The sequence below is a fragment of the Homo sapiens genome, chromosome 2 (assembly GCF_000001405.40).
Source record: "Homo sapiens chromosome 2, GRCh38.p14 Primary Assembly".
In the NCBI taxonomy this organism is placed as follows: domain Eukaryota; kingdom Metazoa; phylum Chordata; class Mammalia; order Primates; family Hominidae; genus Homo; species Homo sapiens.
In genome coordinates this window covers 196,878,419-196,897,635 of record NC_000002.12, presented here as the reverse complement: position 1 = coordinate 196,897,635, position 19,217 = coordinate 196,878,419, and the positions used below count along the sequence as shown (strand labels likewise).

At 35.1% G+C, this 19,217-nt stretch overlaps 1 protein-coding gene across 8 annotated transcripts in view; it reads left to right on the top strand.

The window, feature by feature from the left end:
* The window catches only part of PGAP1 (post-GPI attachment to proteins inositol deacylase 1), a 93,704-nt gene that overhangs the window by 29,072 nt on the left and 45,415 nt on the right, over positions 1-19,217 (top strand). For 7 of the 8 annotated variants that reach the window (XR_007082522.1, XR_001738960.2, NM_024989.4 and 4 more), the window contains 7 exons: positions 439-505; positions 4,391-4,496; positions 5,235-5,290; positions 6,725-6,808; positions 11,756-11,802; positions 12,161-12,212; positions 17,483-17,560. Coding sequence is in view for 6 of the 8 variants with exons in the window: in NM_024989.4 (NP_079265.2) it covers positions 439-505; positions 4,391-4,496; positions 5,235-5,290; positions 6,725-6,808; positions 11,756-11,802; positions 12,161-12,212; positions 17,483-17,560 (490 nt within the window). In the remaining 2 variants the exon portion in view is untranslated. The remainder of the gene's footprint in view (positions 1-438; positions 506-4,390; positions 4,497-5,234; positions 5,291-6,724; positions 6,809-11,755; positions 11,803-12,160; positions 12,213-17,482; positions 17,561-19,217) is intronic. The other variant, NM_001321100.2, reaches the window with a different exon arrangement.

The following is a 19,217-nucleotide window of genomic DNA, read 5'->3' as shown; positions in this document are numbered from 1 at the left end:
AGTAGGGATTAGATTTATCCATATGGGTCAAGAAATAGGCAGCCCCTGATATATTTATCTCATTGTGTTTCAGCTTAAAGATTCTCTTTTGACTTTTCTCTGGCTGTGCGAGCAGTAGTATCTGCTAGAATGACATACTTCAGGCATATAAAGATGGGGTAGATAGTACATCTATGGCTAGGCTAGGTGAGGGGATTCAGGGAAAACAGAAGGACCCTGAAAATTCTGGCAAACATCCAGGAAGATTTAATTTGCTTTATTTTTATAGGTTTCATATTTAAGATATATGCTTAATAAGAATGATTTGTTACATAATTTTTGAGTTTAGAGCACTAAAGGAAACTCAAATGTTCCACTAAACAATAGAATTGTGCATATTTTGATCAAAAGTATATGTTTTAAGAAAGTTTTATTTGTAACACTTACTTTATTCCTTAGGTGTAAACAATTGCAGTTGACTACAGTTCGAGCATTCTTTGATCTTATTGATGCTGATACTAAACAAGTATGTATTTTTAAACTAAAAATTATTTAAATGAAAGCTTTTACTTTACTATATCATTTACAGCCATGATGGATTTAATGTAATTTTTTTACTTTGATGAAAATAGAAGCATATACCTTATATCAATTTTAATTAGTTCCAAAATGGAAATATCTTTTTTTCTCATAATACTTTGACTGCTGCGAATGATTTGTAAAATGCAATGAAAATGAAAAGTGAAAGAACCTTAAATCTTCCCCCAGTTCTTTCCACTGCTTAAAGTTTGACATATATCCTTCCTTTTTTTTTTTTTTTTTTTTTTTAAGATGGAGTCTCACTCTGTTGCACAGGCTGGAGTGCAGTGGCGTGATCTCGGCTCACTGCAGCCTCTGCCTCCCAGGTTCAAGCGATCCTCCCACCTAGCCTCCTGAGGAGCTGGGACTATGTATGTGCACCACCAGTATTTTTAATAGAGATGGGGTTTCACCATGTTGGCCAGGCTGGTTTCAAACTCCTGACCTCAGGTGATCCACCTGTCTTGGCCTCCCAAAGTGCTGGGATTACAGGCGTGAACTACTACACCCGGCCTTCTTTTATTTTTTAAGTGTAGGGGAAATACTTCTTACAAACTATTTTATAATTTTTTTTGTAATACATTGTAAACATCATGATCTATCTTATTAGACATTTTTTCTTTTTGAGAGATAAGTTCTCACTATGTTGCCCAGTCTGGACTCAAATTCCTGGGCTCAAGTGATTCTCCCACCTCAGCCTCCTGAGTTTATTAAACATTTTTGAACCATGCTTTTTTAAAAACCACTTTAGCTTTCTGGTAAGATCGAAATGTGTAATTTATTGAATAACCTAAGCTCACCAGAACTTAAATTATGTACTTTTATAAGTTTTACCTTGTCTGTAATTTGATTTCACAGTGTAAACTCTTCAAACTAGTAATTTTCCAAATTGTTCAATTAGCAGAACATATGGAAATCATAGTATCCTTTACAGATTATCACATTACTCTTTTATCTCTTTCTTGTCTGCTAGCAGATAAATGGTAGCAGGATTTCAGCAAAATTCAGAGAATTCTTTCCATTAACTTAATTTTTTTTTCTGTAAGTTGGGAACAGATTGCCATTATTCATCTTAAACAGCCTTTTACCTCAGGTCATCTTATTCATGGAAATATATTTTGAGAACTATGGCTCTGGCTTCTTCTTTTGGAGAAAAAATTCCTTCTTTTTTAAGTAGTCTTTTTCATGGCAAAGCATTGCAGCCCGGATATTTTTGGAGTATTTCCCCTGAAGGCTCCAATTCTTTGGGCAACTAGTATGGGTGACCTCTTTCTCAATAGGTCTCCAGGTAATACTTAATTCTTAACAATGAGGAAAGCACCTTTACCCTGTAGTGTACTGTCTTAGAAGGATAGGGATTTTTTTCCTTAACTCTTCAGAAAGCTGTGTAACCACTCTTAGAGAGAATCATAGATACTTAGCTCTCTCCTGAAGGTCCAGATCATTTTGTGTTTTACCACATTTTAAGCTACAAGATTCGGTATTAAGTTAGTATATTTATTGATTTAAACAAGCTTCACCAAGTTGACACTGTGACTTGGTCATGCAACACAAACATTTTTTGGTTTGTTGACATTGTTTTAACTGTGAGACTTAACTGTGGTAAAAATTCTAAGCCTACTTGAGGGAGTACAACTACATACAATAATAGAGTCAATTAAAATTGCTAGACCAGTTTTTACTTCAACTGACGTTTGGTAAACTTAAGAAAAACCTTATTCCGACTGGTGAAGAACAGGATACGTCAGACAGGTATATTCCTAAAAAAATTGGACATAAAACTAATTTCAATAAATACAAGCATGTTTTTCCATTAACTTGTAAGATGAGAAAAGAACTATAGTACTAGTATGTAATAAATTATAATTCTGAATGTATAAATATGCATTTTAAGGAGAAAATGAGAAATTTTTGATAACCATATTACTAAGAATCAAAAATACTGTTTATGAAACTGAGTTTTGTTTTAAAAACTCACTATGTGTAATTGACTGGACTAAATAGTAGAAAATAAAAACTTAAGGTATGATATCTAACCCTCAGGAAGCATATAGTCCAGGAGAAAAGCAGAACATATATATTCAGGGAAACTAAAATGCAAAGAATAATTAGTCCTAAGCATGGTGATAAGGCAGGAATCAGAGTAATTTCTAGTGGTTATTAGCATAAAAGTCATAGCTAAAAACTTGTGAGTAGATGGATTACCTTGAGAGTGAGTAAGAATGGTGGAATCCAGTCTTAAAGTTTTTTTGTTTTTGTTTTTGTTTTTGTTTTTTGAGACGGAGTCTTGCTCTGTCACCCAGGCTGGAGTGCAGTGGCGCGATCTCGGCTCACTGCAAGCTCCGCCTCCCGGGTTCATGCCATTCTTCTGCCTCAGCCTCCCGAGTAGCTGGAACCACAGGTGCCCACCACCATACCCGGCTAATTTTTTGTATTTTTAGTAGAGACAGGGTTTCTACGTGTTAGCCAGGATGGTCTCGATCTCCTGACCTTGTGATCCACCCGTCTTGGCCTCCCAAAGTGCTGGAATTACAGGCATGAGCCACTGCGCCCGGCCTAAAGTTTTGATAGACAGGCTGTAACATTTAATTGATTGCAAACAGATGTGGCCCCTTAAGAAAATCAAACAAATTTAGTATAAGACTGAGTTATTTGAAGTAGAGAGTTTGCATCAATTAGTATAAAAGTTCCACTGTCCTCCACTCTACTGACACCGTATCTAGAGAACTGTATTCTATTTCATGCATCATATTTTGAGGGGGACATCAACAAACTTAAGTTTATCCAGGGGAGGCAATCAGAATGGTGAAGGGACCAAAAGAGTTCAATGAAAAACACTTGATATGTTTGAAGTTGTTTTATCTGCAGAAGAAATGTTTTATTTGAATGGAGAACATAGCAAGTTTCTAATTTTTGAAGGACTGTCTCCCAATCTAAGATAGCAGTGTAATAAGGAATCAGTTATTTGCTCTAAATAAAGCATTCTCCTGGTAAGAGTTGTTAAAATTGGAATGCATGATCTTACAAAGTAGTGAATTAAAAATGTTCAGGCAAATGCTGGGTGACTTCCAAAGGGATTGGAAAGGTTTAGTAGACCTGGATCCTCACTGTTACTTCTTTGCCGTTCTCGCTCTGTGGTTGAGAAAGTCATTTACCTGTCAGGGCCTCAATTATTAAACTAGAGAGTTGAATAATGGTCAATACCAAATGGATTTTATACCCAGTACACTTTTTTAAAGGGATGACAACTTTTTTAAAGTTGCCAACTTTTTATTGTGCCAGGATATTTAAAAAACAGGTAGAAGGATAGAATAAAAGAGAGTAATTTCTATGGTAGGAAAGTTGACAATATTTATTTTCTCTAGTGACCAGTGGATTCTTTGTTATGGTGTTGGCAGTAGTCTGAATTTGGAAATCAGTACATTGGGATCACAAGACCAGAGAATCTCTAAAATTCTCTTCTGGTTCTATACATTTTTATAATGTTTTATTCTTAAATGTTACTTGAGAGACACTATTGCATAATAATGAAAGCATGGACTCTAGAGCCAGAATGCCTGGGTGTGAATCCCAGCCCAGACTTAAGAGCTGTGTGAACTTAGGCAAGTTTCTTAATTTCTCTGTGCTTTAGTTTATTCACATTTCAAATGCAGGCGAAATCATTATCTCTTAGAGTTTTTGTGATGATTGAGTGAGTTTATGTACAGTGCTCAGAACAGTGCCTGGCTCAGAGTAATAAATGTTGGCTGTTGTCATCATTACTGAAGCAATGTTTCATCAAGCTATTACAATAGATACAAAATGATACAGAATGTATCAATGTTCTTTCTAGATAACTCAAAATTCCAAGAAGAAACTGTCAGTTTTGTATCACCACTTTATAAGACACCCATCAAAACATTTTGAGGAAAATCCAGCTATAATTTCTGACTTAACAGGTTGGTGACAATAACATATTTTAATTTTAAATGAAGTATTTCATTATTAATCTTAGGTAAATTTGTTTATAGCAGACAAAATCTTTGAAACTGTGATACTTCAAGTTTTAGGATCCTATTATATATATACATATATTATTAATTTCCCTATGATGATGCTGGTGCAGTTCTTGGTTAGGAAGGGAAAAAGAAGCAACATGTAAGAGATTGCTGGTAAAAATTTTGTCTTGAAAATAACATGACAAATAGAAAAATTTCAGTTAAATGACTGTTCTCCTAACAATTGCATAAACTAAGTGCCATATTATTCTTGACTCCTTTTAGTTCCTCAATTATCAGTTATTCTTCATTCTTCTTTTGGATTACCAACATATCTTTTGCTGATAAATTTTGCTTTTAACAAAATAACTTGCTTTGTCTATTTAAATATAAAGCAAATTATACCTGTTATATTTAATTATGTGTCTTGTTTGGGAAATGAAATATTTATTTCCTATGTTGATAATTCCTTAGAGTTAAAGGACACCAAACAGATTTATACTTTACTTGATGTGAATGCTAGTTGGTGATGAGTGTATAGAAAATATATTACTAGATTTTCTGTTTTAATATAGCCAGTGTTCAGAAAACCACTTCTTTATTGTGATTGAGAAGTATTTCACCAGGATTCAAAGAAGAAAGAAACTATGTAGTATAAAAACAAAACAAGGCAAATAAATTAATTTCCTTTACCTTCAGGGACATCTATGTGGGTTCTAGTAAAAGTGTCCAAATGGACCTATGTAGCTTACAACGTAAGTATTCCACCAATGGATTTTTTTTCATGTTTTTTCCAGAAATAATTTAGTATTTATCTTTAAAAGTTAAAGACTCTTTAAACAAGATAACTGCATGCCATTTTCCCACAATTTAATAATAATTCCTTAATAAGTATCTAGTCAGTAATCAGTTTTATCATAAATTTATCTTTTTTGCTGTTTTCTTTGACGTTCAGTTTGTTTACATCAGGATCCAAACAAGGCCTATACGTTGTTATTGATTAATGTCTTATTCCTTTTTAATCTGGAAGACTTTCTCTTACCACCACTCTCCCCTTTTTTTTCTTGAAACTTATTTGTTGAAAAAAATACCAAGTCATTTGTCCTCTAGAGTTTCACAGTCTTGATTTTACTGATTGCATTCCTGTAGTCATTCAACATGTTCCTTTGCCTGTTGTGGTCCTGTGATTTAGTAGCTGGATCTAGCTGCTTTTTCATATTCAGATTTTTGTTTTGTTTTTGTTTTTGCTAGACTTTCTCTCTTTTTGTGATGTTAGCCACTGTTGATGAGGAATGCCTGGAGTTATTAATTGATTAAGGAGGATGCAAAAATTATGATGTTTAATTTTATTATTTATTAACTAGAATAGTATTCTAGTTAATTCTATATACTTACAGAAAAACTGCTTATCTACTAAATTTATCAAAAGTAGAATAAATCATATGGGAAAAGAGTGATAATTGTGTGGATCTTTGGATCTTACCTTATATTTACTCATTATCAGAATGGTGAGTTGGCTCACAAGCTTCCTCTTATTAGTGACCATTAGTGGGTTTATTCCTCCAGTATTATTATGCACTCATGCATTTAAATATGTTTTCTTTCAGTCTGTTGATACTAAAATCGTTCCATATTTGGTCAGTGCAAACCATTTCAAGTTAAGTTCCTGAGCTTTGTTGATACAGCTCTTTAGTTGTCTTTAACAGTTTCCTCACTCTTGAGTAGGACAAGATATTTTAGCTTATTTTGTACATTTCCTGCCCCAAACCGTGAATCAGCTATTTCTTTAAGGAACTATTCCTTTTCTTTGGGAAGTGGTATCTCAAAACCATAATCTGGTACTAGAAATGCTTGTGACTATTGGGTTGGCATTTCTAGGCCTTTTCAATGGCCAGAGCTAAGAACTGCATAAAATCTTAACTAGAAGAGCAAAAAACCCACAATAAAACAACAACAAAAAAGTACATTCACACTGATACTTCCAGGACAAACTGGGGACTACAGAGTTTATACCTAATCTTTCTCTTGCCCTTCTGTATCTTCCTTCTCCCACTCCTAGAGAATTGGTTCTCAACAACAAGAAGAATGATAGAATTAGAATAATTACTCATTTGCTATATCTGGATTTTTGAATGATGAAACTAATCTGCTCATTACAGCTATATTGAGTGTTTTCCTTCTTTTTGTAGGAATCTGAGAAGATATATTTTACATTTCCTCTTGAAAATCATAGAAAAATCTACACTCATGTCTATTGTCAGAGCACTATGCTGGTAAGATAATTGGTACATTTTATGTAAATTTAAGAGGCTAACTGTTGTTCATTTTTCAAATTCTACTGGTAGACCTAGCTATGAAATATTACTATTAAATCTAAGTAGTTGAAAAATAATTTCTCTGGACGAGTGTTTTGATTGAAAAGTATTGATCAAATTTTTTTTTTATCACAGATACTATGCTATTAAGGTGTAACTTTGGTTCTAGTTTAGGTCTCCCACCCTGTCTTTCTGCCTTCATTTTACTCTGTTCGTGATGAAGGAATGGAATTCAAAACCCCTTTAATTCTAAGTTTCTATTAGTACTTTAAAGAATAGATGTAATTAAGCAAAGCTATTCAATAGGAATTTTATAAAGGGAATTTTGTTTTCCATTGGCTTACATACTAAAATTTGAGGTACTTTTTATACCAAATATTCTCTAAGATAGTAGAGTAACTTACAATGTTATCTAGATTTACTGTATCAGAATAATGATTTTGATTTTTGTGTTTCTTTTTAATGAGTACCTACTATGTTAGGCACTATTAAAAAATGTGATGTTGTTTAAAAATGCTGTAGCGTGCATTTATTATGATATTAGGAATGGAAGCTAGGTGTGGTGGCTCACGTCTGTAATCCTAGCACCTTGGGAGGCTGAGGTGGGTGGATCATTTGAGCTCAGGAGTTTGAGACCAGCCTGGGCAACATGGTCAAACCCCGTCTCTGCAAAAAATACAAAAAACTTAGCTGGGTGTGGTGGTAGCACCTGTAGTTTCTGCTACTTGGGGGGCTGGGGAAGGAAGATCACTTGAACCGAGAGGTTGAGATGGCAATGAGTTGAGATCACGCCACTAGCGCTCCAGCCTGGGTGACGAAGTGAGGCCCTGTCTCAGAAGAAAAAAAAGGGAAAGGTTAAGTAGTACTTCAATAATTTATCTACATTTCTTACTTTCAGGATTTTTTCTTTTTTTTTTTTTTTTTTTTGAGACGGAGTCTTGCTCTGTCACCCAGGCTGGAGTGAGGTGGCGCAGTCTCGGCTCACTGCAAGCTCCACCTCCCGGGTTCACGCCATTCTCCTGCCTCAGCCTCCAGAGTAGCTGGGACTACAGGCGCTTGCCACCATGCCTGGCTAATTTTTTCTATTTTTTTTAGTAGAGACAGGGTTTCACCGTGTTAGCCAGGATGGTCTCGATCTCCTGACCTCGTGATCCGCCCGCCTCGGCCTCCCAAAGTGCTGGGATTACAGGCGTGAGCCACCGCGCCCGGCCTCAGGATTGTTTCTTAATTTGGATTCTTTTTCCTCTATTCTGATTTTTTTTTTTTTGGCATATCTCACGATTCTTCACTCTATATTTGTATCTGTTCCTTCTTCTCCCTTTTGTTAGGTTATTTGTATTTATTTAGAACCAAGATCTATTACTTTGCTGGAGATGCTGACATTTGATTATATAGTAAAATATTTTAAAAAAAGATGATAGGCATTGTGGGCTGGATGCTAATGGGTACTATATTTTAGTGAAATTACCAGACTTTTGCATCTCTCACAGAGACTTGCATCTCTCAGCCTAAAATCTAGATGGGCAGTTTACCCTGGCAGATTCTGGCCTTGAGAGTAAAAGCTTAAAGTATCTTTTCTCACTTAATACTAAATTTCAAATCAGAATGTCAGTATTATATTAAGAAAAATGCTTGTCAAAGTGCAAATTATTCATTTGGCTGATGGGAGGATCTTTTTTCTGTATTTAATGTTCATGGGTATTAATTAACATAAACTCATGTGAATTTTAAAAAAATCTTTTCAATTTTTATTATAGAAATTTTCAAGCTTATATAAAGGCAGAAAGAAAATATAAGAATGAATTTTTTTATAATCAACACACAGCTTTAACAGTTATCAATACTCTGTCATTCTTAAATCATTTATTTATTTACACTTTTTTTGACTGAAAAATTTTAAAAGTAAATTCTGGGCATTTTATTAGTTCATCCATAAAGTATGTTTTCCTATAAGGATTTTATACATTACCATAATACCATTATTTCATCCAACCAAATTAATACTAATTCCTTAGTATCATCTGATATTCACTCCATGTTCAGTTTTCCTTGGTTCACTTAAATTTTAAGTTTATCTGAATCAGGATCCAAAGTATACATTGCCTTTAGTTCCTAGATCTTATGTCTCTTTTATAATAAATAGCCCCACCCCCTTTCCCCCATGCTACTTAAATGTTCAAAGAAATGTATTACATGTTTTACAGAATTTCCCACAATCTAGGTTTAACTGATTGTATTCCCATAGTGTCTTTTAGTATGTATTTCTATCCCCTATGTTTTCTGTAAACTGGTAGTTAGATCTAGAATCTTGATTAGATTCAGATTAATTTTTTATAGTAAGAATGTTTTATAAGTAGAGCTGTGGATCGCCTATTTTATGGTACCAGGAGGTACATAATATCTGGTTTTACCACTTTTAGAGAAAAAGATATTGGTAGGCTCAGTGGTGACAGCATGATCCATCCATTATAAAGTGCCCAGTCAGTCTTTCACTTGATGGTTTTTAGTAGCCATTAAATACAGTAGACAGAATTTTTTGAGAACTATAAATTTTTGATCAGTAGCATTTTCTTTCCTGTATACTTTAGGAGTTAGTCAATAATCCTTGAATAACTTCTAAGGTTTTTAGTATGATTTTTGTAATTAGTTCACCTTTTGACATCTAGGTTATATCAACATGGTGTTTTGATGGACTTTGATGGTGTTAGATACTCTATCTATTCAATCCATTGATGAATGAGTCAGAATTCCCTATACACCGAAGTAGTATGGAATATCAGCAATTTTCATAATGAGGGTTACCTTTGAGGATAGGCCCCTTCTTAGTAGCGGCAAAAACCCTTTACAAAAATGGGTTGGATCTTTATAGGCTGCTAGATTTTCTGTGTCCAGGCTGTGCAGATCTGTTCTGTTGTCTTGCTTCTTTAATGTCACATTATTGTTCTGGGAAGTACAGGTAACTGATACAGGACTCACACAAGTATTTTGCCTACAGAGAAACACCACACTTTTTTATTTGTTTCCTGTCAGCTTTCTTTTATATATTCCTGAAAAATGTCTTAACATTTTATGTAAGCTGAATGAGAGCAGAGACTATGTCTGCCTGATTCATCATTTTCCCTGAGGGCTTAGTATATCATTCCTTGGCCATAGAATGGACTTTATAAGTATCAGTTGAATAAAAGCATTGATTTCTTGGTTGTCCTATCTGTGATTCAAAGGACAAATTTATGTAGCTATGTGAGCAGTGCTTCTCATCCTCTTATGTCTTGGTAGGATTTCACTAGTTAGATAATCATATCTCAGAACATTGCTCTTACTTCCTTAAAAGTTGCAGTTAAGATCTCAGGTCACACTGCTGTTTTTGTTTGTTTGTTTTTGTTTTGTTTTGTTTTGTTTTTTGAGATGGAGTCTCGCTCTGTCGCCCAGGCTGGAGTGCAGTGGCGCGATCTCGGCTCACTGCAAGCTCCGCCTCCCAGGTTCATGCCATTCTCCTGCCTCAGCCTCTTGAGTAGCTGGGACTACAGACGCCCACCACCACGCCCAGCTAATTTTTTGTATTTTTAGCAGAGACGGGGTTTCACCGTGTTAGCCAGGAGGGTCTCGATCTCCTGATGTTGTGATCCGCCTGCCTTGGCCTCCCACAGTGCGGTCACACTGCTTTTAATTGACTAAAGCTGAATACAGAATATGTTAAAATGTCACAATCATCTCTGCAGCATTTCCATCCTGTGCTGATGAACCATAACCAGCTTTAGTCTGGAGCCCTTGGAATTGGGCTTTAGTCCAACACATTCTTGGTTGTATAGAAGTTATTTGCTGGTCACTTTGGGAGGTTGAGGCGGGCGGATCATGAGGTCAAGAGATGGAGACCATCCTGGCCAACATGGTGAAATCCCGTCTCCACTAAAAATACAAAAATTAGCTGTGTGTGGTGTCACACCGCTGTAGTCCCAGCTACTCTGGAGGCTGAGGCAGGAGAATCGCTTGAACCCAGGAGGCAGAGGTTGCAGTGAGCCGAGATTGTGCCACTGCACTCCAGCCTGGTGACAGAGCAAGACTCTGTCTCAAAAAAAAAGGGACTTATTTGCTGGTAACCAAATGGAAACTCAAACGATAAAGTAAAACACAGTATATAAATTATTTTTAATTGCTTGACTCTGGATTTATGTTTGTATAAAAGTCTACCTCCAGCTTTTCATTCTTCATTTAAAAAATGTAGATTACTTACTATATAACTATCTAATTAAAGTATGGACATTACTGAAATCTGAAAATTTTGGTTCAATAATTAGGAATACTTAGGTGATATGCTGTAGAAAGATGGCGAGGCGTGGTGGCTCACACCTATAATCCCAGCACTTTGGAAGGCCGAGGCGGGCAGATCACTTGAGGTCAGGAGTTCAAGACCAGCCTGGCCAACATGGTGAAACCTCGTCTCTACTAAAAATACAAAAATTAGCCGGGCATGGTGGTGGGTACCTGTAATCCCAGCTACTTGGGAGGCTGAGGCAGGAGAATAACTTGAACCCAGGAGGAGGAGGTTGCAGTGAGCCAAGGTCGTGCCACTGTACTCCAGCCTGGGTGACAGAGCAAGACTCCATCTCAAAAAAAAAAAAAAAAAAAAAGAGATAACCAGTCAGGGCAGTCCTTCTCGTACTCTTGGCTCCAGGATAACTGCTTACCTATCAATGTTGACATTAGACTTCTTTACCCATCCTTGATTTATTTGACTTTGAGAACATCTTGGATATGTTTCTCAACAATAAGCTGTTATTTACGTTTCACTTGCTCCTAGTCACCCTATATCATATAACAATAAAAAGTGTTGAAAATGGGTGTTTGTTTTGTATAATTATTTTCTACAATACTTAGTGTGTTTTGTTTTGTGCTGTTCATCAACAGGATACAAATAGTTGGATTTTTGCTTGCATAAACAGCACTTCTATGTGGTAAGTCTTTTGAATGCATGTTCATTTATCTCAACATAAACAATACTCGGAAACCACACTTTTAGAATAGTTTCATACATTGTTATTTTCATTTTGATGCTATATGAAATTATAATATTGTTTTTAAAATGAAAAGTAAAGGAAATGAATATACTAGTAATTTTTGCAAACATTGAAATTAGCTGGGAAAAACATTTTTGTTGCTAAGGGAAATATGTGGACAGAGTATATTGGATTAGGCTCAATAGACATCTCTACTAGGTGTAGAGATGGTTTCTTTTTCCTCTGAATCTTATTTATAATTTGTAATACTTCCATATATTTGTCCTTTAATTATATTTTCATATTTATTTCAAAGCCTGCAAGGGGTTGATTTATCATGGAAAGCTGAACTGCTGCCAACAATTAAGGTAAATTATGGCTTCAGAATTTTAATATTCAGTTGAAAAAAATACTTGAGTCTATACACATTTTAAAATATTCTCTTTCATTAGCTTATCTTGGTATTAAATAAACTTGAGATTTACTAACCTACATTTAAAAAATATTTTCTCTAGAAATACATTTGATAGGGAATAACATACAATTAGTGTTATTTATATTTTTTTTACTTTCAGAGATAAAAACTATAAGTTAACAGTCCTCTAAATCTCTGTATATTATAACTTCATACAAAAAGAACTGGATGGATTTCTAACATTCAATTTGAGGATATGTTTGAATGGCCTGCCTTAAAATATGAGCTGAGTTAGTATACTTAGAACTCATTTTGGGAGGAAGGGCCTGCAGTTGGGAAGTGGACATCTCAAACAGATATGATACATGGTCAAGCACTCAAATAACTAGTTTATCTAGTGCTCTCCAGGGTGATAAGTCACAGCAGGGATTTATTTAATAGTTGTTTGTGATTTGATTAAGCAACTCTGGTAGGTCAGCAAGTTCTTTTATAAAGGGCTTATTTGCGCAGTCTCAAAATCTATTGTTGAAAAAGCAAAATAATCCTAAAATGTGATGAAAATATCTGTTCTAATTTCCAAATTGTATTTATTGTAACTGATAAATTTTATCCGGATTGATAGTTTTCAGTCTTCAAGTAAATCTGTACTTTAAAAATATAGTTTCATAATGAATCCTAGACTCATTCATTGACTTGAAAGTGAAATCATCTGGTGGTTTCCAATTATTTCACGATTAACTCCAATTAAGTTAGTTATTTTTGCTCATGAATGCTTATAATTATTTGTATGAATAGTCAACTCTATACTATACAAACAGAGAATGAGAAACTTATGCTAACAGAGAGGAATGGTGACAGAAGAAATAATTGCAAGTCACACTTCACTTTGGAATGGTTGCAATTTTTTTGTCACCTTGGTCAATCTTATTTGTACATATTCATTCATGTGACCTTGTGTTTATCAAACAAATATGATAGGAAAGTAAATTGACTCTTGAACATTTTTAAGGTTTCTCACTGGTACTATCCTAACCAGGATCAAAACAAACAAAAGTGTTAGGATATACTTACTGCACACTCATTTATAAGGTGTTATTAAATATTTCCTCAACTTATTTTTTTATTTCAATAGCTTGAGGGGTATAGGTGATTTTTTTATTACGTGGATGAATTGTATAGATTAATTTGGATGTTCTATCCAGCCTATAAAGATTAAGAAGAAATAAATTATTAAAAACCCAATAAAATGTACTTTGCTTCCTATGTTTTAAAAGGTATTTCTTAAATCATAAAATTTTTATATTATTCTTTTAAATCTCCAAAGATTAATCAGTCTCTATATCAAACAATAGGTCCCTATGTTGTTTGTTCTGAATGTAAGAAACAGCTGGCTGAACAGCAGGAGAACAAGCTATTTCAGCTGCCTACTTTTCATGGCAAATGCTGAAAGAGAGAAGTTAGAAAACAAGTATTATAGCATTCTGCAATCTTGTGTGTTCTCAGCTTAGGAGGATAGATCTTTTATTTTAATGAAAGTCAAAATTGAATGTAATATGTATTAGCCATTTATAAACAGCACACAAAATTATTTTGCTTTGAAATTGAAGGGATGACTAAAGCAAATACATTTTATAAATTTTATTCATATTAATATCTCAATAAAAGTAATGTCAGATGAGAATTATATCATTGTTAGGCATTTCTGTGGACTGAACTTTTAATAAATAGATGGAGCCCTCCATCAAAGCACGTATAAATTCAACACTTGGCCATTGTTGAGAATAAATACTTAAAAGCCATTAGAGTGGATAGCTGCACAGATTATCCAAGTTCTTCCTAATTAATGTTTCATATTAGCTACCATTTGTCTGGTGGGTCTTAGCTGCCTGTAGCTGTGGCTTATGTGGCCCTTTTAAGGCTCTTTAATTTACATTAGAACATATGAGTCTGTCACAGGGACTTTGCTAAGTCGGGGTGAAGCCCAGGAGTTTATGTTTGATAAACATCCCACATGAATCTGGTCAGATTGTTAGAAGGCTACTCATTAATGGTTCTTTAGCTTGAGCATCTCTGTCCTCCTTGCCCACATTGGTGCTTCTCAAGAAGATTGGGGAAAGCTAAGTGTCTTTAGAAATGTTTAGTGCAAACATATTGTTAGAACATATAACTACTCCCACCCCACACATACTTCCAGAACAAAACTCGATTAAAAACTGTATTTGGGTGATTCATCACATAAATAGAACTAAAGACAAAAGCCACATCATTATCTCAATAGATGCAGAAAAGGCTTTTGATAAAATTCAACACCCATTCATGTTAAAAACTCTCAGTAGACTAGGTATTGAAGGAACATATCTCAAAGTAATAAGAGCCATCTAATGACAAACCCACAGCCAACATCATACTGAATGGGCAAAAGCTGGAAGCATTCCCCTTGAAAACCAGCACAAGACAAGGATGCCCTCTCTCACCGCTCCTATTCAGCATAGTACTGGAAGACCTGGCCAGGGCAATCAGGCAAGAGAAAGAAATAAGGGGCATCCAAATAGGAAGAGAGGAAGTCAAATTATCTTTGTTTGCAAATGACATGATCCTATATCTAGAACACTCCATCGTCTCAGCCCAAAAGCTCCTTAAGCTGATAAGCAACTTCAGCAAATTATCATGATACAAAATCAATGTGCAAAAATAACTAACATTCCTATTGACACCAACAACAGTCAAGCCAAGAGCCAAATCAGGAATGTAGTTCCATCCAATATTGCCAAAAAAAGAATAAAAGACCTAGGAATACAACTGATCAGAGAGATAAAAGTTCTCTACAAGGAGAATTACAAAACACTGTTCAAATAAATCAGAGATGACATCAACAAATGGATAAACATTCCATGACCATGGATAGGAAGAATCAATAGCATTAAAATGGCCATACTGTCCAAAGCAATTTATAGATTCAGTGTTATTTCTATTAAACTACTATGGACATTCTTCACATAACTAGAAAAAACTATTTTAAAATTCATATGGAACCAAAAAAGAGCTCAGTAAAGCCAAACCAATCCTAAGCAAAAAGAACAAAGCTGGAGGCATCACACTACTTGACTTCAAACTATGCTGCAGGGCTGCAGTAACCAAAACAGCATGGTACTGGTACAAAAACAGACACATAGAGCAATGGAACAGGATAGAGAACCCAGAAATAAAGCCACACACCTACAACTCTCTGACCTTTGACAAACTTGACGAAAACAAGCAATGGGGAAAAGTTTTCCTATTCAATAAATGGTGCTGGGATAACTGCCTAGCCTTATGCAGAAGGTTGAAAGTGGACCTCTTCTTTACACCATATACAAAAATTAACTCAGGATGGATTAAAAACAAGTGTAAAACCCAAAACTATAAAAAATGTGGAAAACAACCTAGGTAATACCATTCTGGACATAGGAATGGGCAAAGATTTCATGATGTTGATACCAAAAGCAAAAATTGACAAATGGGATGTAATTAAACTAAAAAGTTTCTGCACAGCAAAGGAAACTATCAACAGAGTGAACAGACAACCTACAGAATGGGAGAAAAATTTTGCAAACTCTGCATCCGACAAAGGTCTAATATCCAGCATCTATAAGGAAGTTAAACAAATTTACAAGATAAAAACAATTCATTAAAAAGTGGGCAAAGGACATGAAATGACACTTTTCAAAAGAAGACATACATGCAGCCAACAATTATATGGAAAAATAGCTCAACATCACTGACCATTAGAGAAATGCAAATCAAAACCACGGTGAGATACTATCTCGCACCAGTCAGAATGGCTATTATTAAAAAGTCAAAAAATAACAGATGCTGGCGAGGTTGCAGAGAAAAAGGAACACTTACATGCTGTTAGTGGGAGTGTAAATTAGTTCAACCATTGTGGAAGACAGTGTGGAGATTCCTTGAAGACCTAAAAATAGAAATACCATTTGACCTAGTAATCCCATTACTGGGTGTATACCCAAAGGAATATAAAGCATTCTATTATAAAGACACATGTATGTGTGTTCATTGCAGCACCATTCATGATAGCAAAGACATGGAATCAACCTAAATTCCCATCAATAGTAGACTGGATAAAGAAAATGTATTACATATACACCATGGAATACTATGCAGCCATAAAAAAGAATGAGATCATGTTCTTTGCAGTAACATGGATGGAACTGGAGGCCATTATCCTTAGCAAATGAATGCAGGAAGAGAAAACCAAATGCTGCATCTTCTCACTTATAAGTGGGAGCTGAATGATGAGAACACATGGACATGTAGGGGGAACAACACACACTCGGGCCTATTGGAGGGTGGAGAGTAGGAGGAGGAAGAGAATCAGGAAAAATAACTAGTGGGTAACTAGGCTTAGTACCTGGGTGATGAAATAATCTGTACAACAAACCCCCATGACACAAGTTTACCTGTGTAACAAATTTGCACATCTATCCCTGAACTTAAAATAAAAGTTAAATTAAAACAAGAAAGAAAACAAAAAAACCTGTATTTGGTGCCTTGGCTTTTCATTAAATAGAGCAGTCTTCTACCAATTCATTCCTCAAAATATGGACTATAGGACTGGTCTTAATTTTGAGAAATAAATAATTACTTATTTGGTGAGGTGCATTATTTAGACATACTTGTCTTTATCATTTGCTAAATAAATTCCAGGGGATGATGTGCAGATATGCCATTAGACAGCAACTCTTTACTACTTGGGCTAGATCAAAATAATTTGAGATTAAATTGTAACTCTTTCATTATATTTAGCATTTATTCATTCATCAGCTATTGAATGTTTTGTGTTATATACTACCAAAATAAATGTAGAAACAATACTGTGATACTATATGTAACAAATAACCAAATTATAAAAAGAAAGACACCAAATTTGGAAATAATTATAGATAATAATTAAATTTAATGTTAAATGTCATTTGTTTTATATGAAGGGATCCAAAGAATATTTTTGGCAGTTCCTATTTAACATAATAATTATTAGGAACTTGATTTTCAACAGGATTATTGACCTGGAAATGTAAACATGGGCATTTTATGAAGTACTGAACATAAATTGGAAGCCTGCTTTTTAAGATAACGAATTAAGTAAGAAATAAGTGTTATTTATTTTTCTTTAAACATGCATTAATCTCTAAGAAATAAAAGTAGTTTCTTTTTTTTTTATTTTAGTATCTGACATTAAGACTTCAAGACTATCCATCTTTGTCTCATCTTGTTGTTTATGTACCATCTGTTCGTGGAAGTAAGGTAACAAGTGGGTTAAGATTGTTATTAGAATGTTTTGGAGACACATGCTAAATTTTACAGTTCTTTTTCAATGAGTTTTTCTGCACAGTTTATCTAAAACAGTAGCCAGTTTGATGATCCACCTAAGACTGTTAAATTATTAGGATCATCTACTCTAACTTGAACTAAGCAGAATGAACCCAAGTTTCTTTGTTCCAAGTGAGAACTGGTTCCAGTTTATCAATCAGTCTTTCAAAATCTATGAATTATTAGGCACATAATAATAATTCATAGGTGCAAAACCTATGAATTATTAGGTACCCTTTAAGTATAAGGCTATGTACCAGGAATTATAGGAGGCACACAAATGAAGACATGACCCTGGTTTTGTTTTGTTTTTTTGAGAAAGAGTCTTGCTCTGTCACCCAGGCTGGAGTGCAGTGGCGCAACCTTGGCTCACTACAACCTCCACCTCCTGGGTTCAAGTGATTCTTCTGTCTCAGCCTCCCAAGTAGCTGGGACTACAGGCGCATGCTACCACACCGAGCTAATTGTTGTATTTTTAGTAGAGATGGGATTTTGCCATGCTGGCCAGGATGGTCTTGAACTTTTGACCTCAGGTGATCCGCCCACCTTGGCCTCCCAAAGTGCTGGGATTACAGGTGTGAGCCACCGCGCCTGGCTGACAAGACCCTGTTCTTAAAAAGCTACATACTATTGGGAAGGGGGAGAGAAATGTAACTGGAGCAGAGGGAAGAGTGGAAAAAGAACTACCCAAATACACATAACACAAATCAGAATATAGCAAGTACATAAAAAGAATGGCATTATAATAAGGTGATATTTAAAATGGCTTTCAAGTAGGCATGGTGGCAAGTACCTGTAATCCCAGCTACTTGGGAAGTTGAAGCAGGAGAATCATTTGAACCCAGGAGGTAGAGGTTGTAGTATGCTATGATTATGCCTGTGAATAGCCACTGTACTGCAGCCCGGTCAACATAATGAGACCCCACTTTTAAAATGAAATAAAATAAAACAAAATGGCCTTAATGGGTAGTTAGGATTTTTATAGGAAGAATGAACATTGTAGAGCCATGCTGTCAATACAGGAATCACTAGCACATGTGGTTATTTCAATTTAAGTTAATATAAAATAAAAAATTCTGTTCCCTAATTGTCCTAGTCACATTCCAGATGCTCAATAGTGACATCATTGCCAGGAGTTATAATGGACAGCACTGTTTAGACAAAGCAACAGAGCAAAGCATGAAGTATATTTGAAAAACAGTGAATAAGTAAATAATAATTTTGAAAGGATGGCCACAATGGGTTTGAATAGTAGTGGAGGAAAAGTCTGGAAAATTAGTTCATGGCCATATTGTGAAAGTTTTGATTGGAGGATTCAGGACTTTATGGAATTCAGAAGTCAGTAGGAAGCCATAAGATTTTTAACTATAGTAGTAATGGTATCAGAAATCATTTATTTGGGAAGATTAATCTCCTTATGCTGTAGAATAGATCAGAAACAGACTAGGTACCTCATAAGGGGTTTGTACAGACTGAGCACCCTTAATCCAAAAATCCAAACTCTAAAAACTTTCTGACAGGTGGGGATACTCATTGCTATAATAATGAGGACGCGCCATCTAAAACTTTTTGAGTGCCAACCTGACACCAC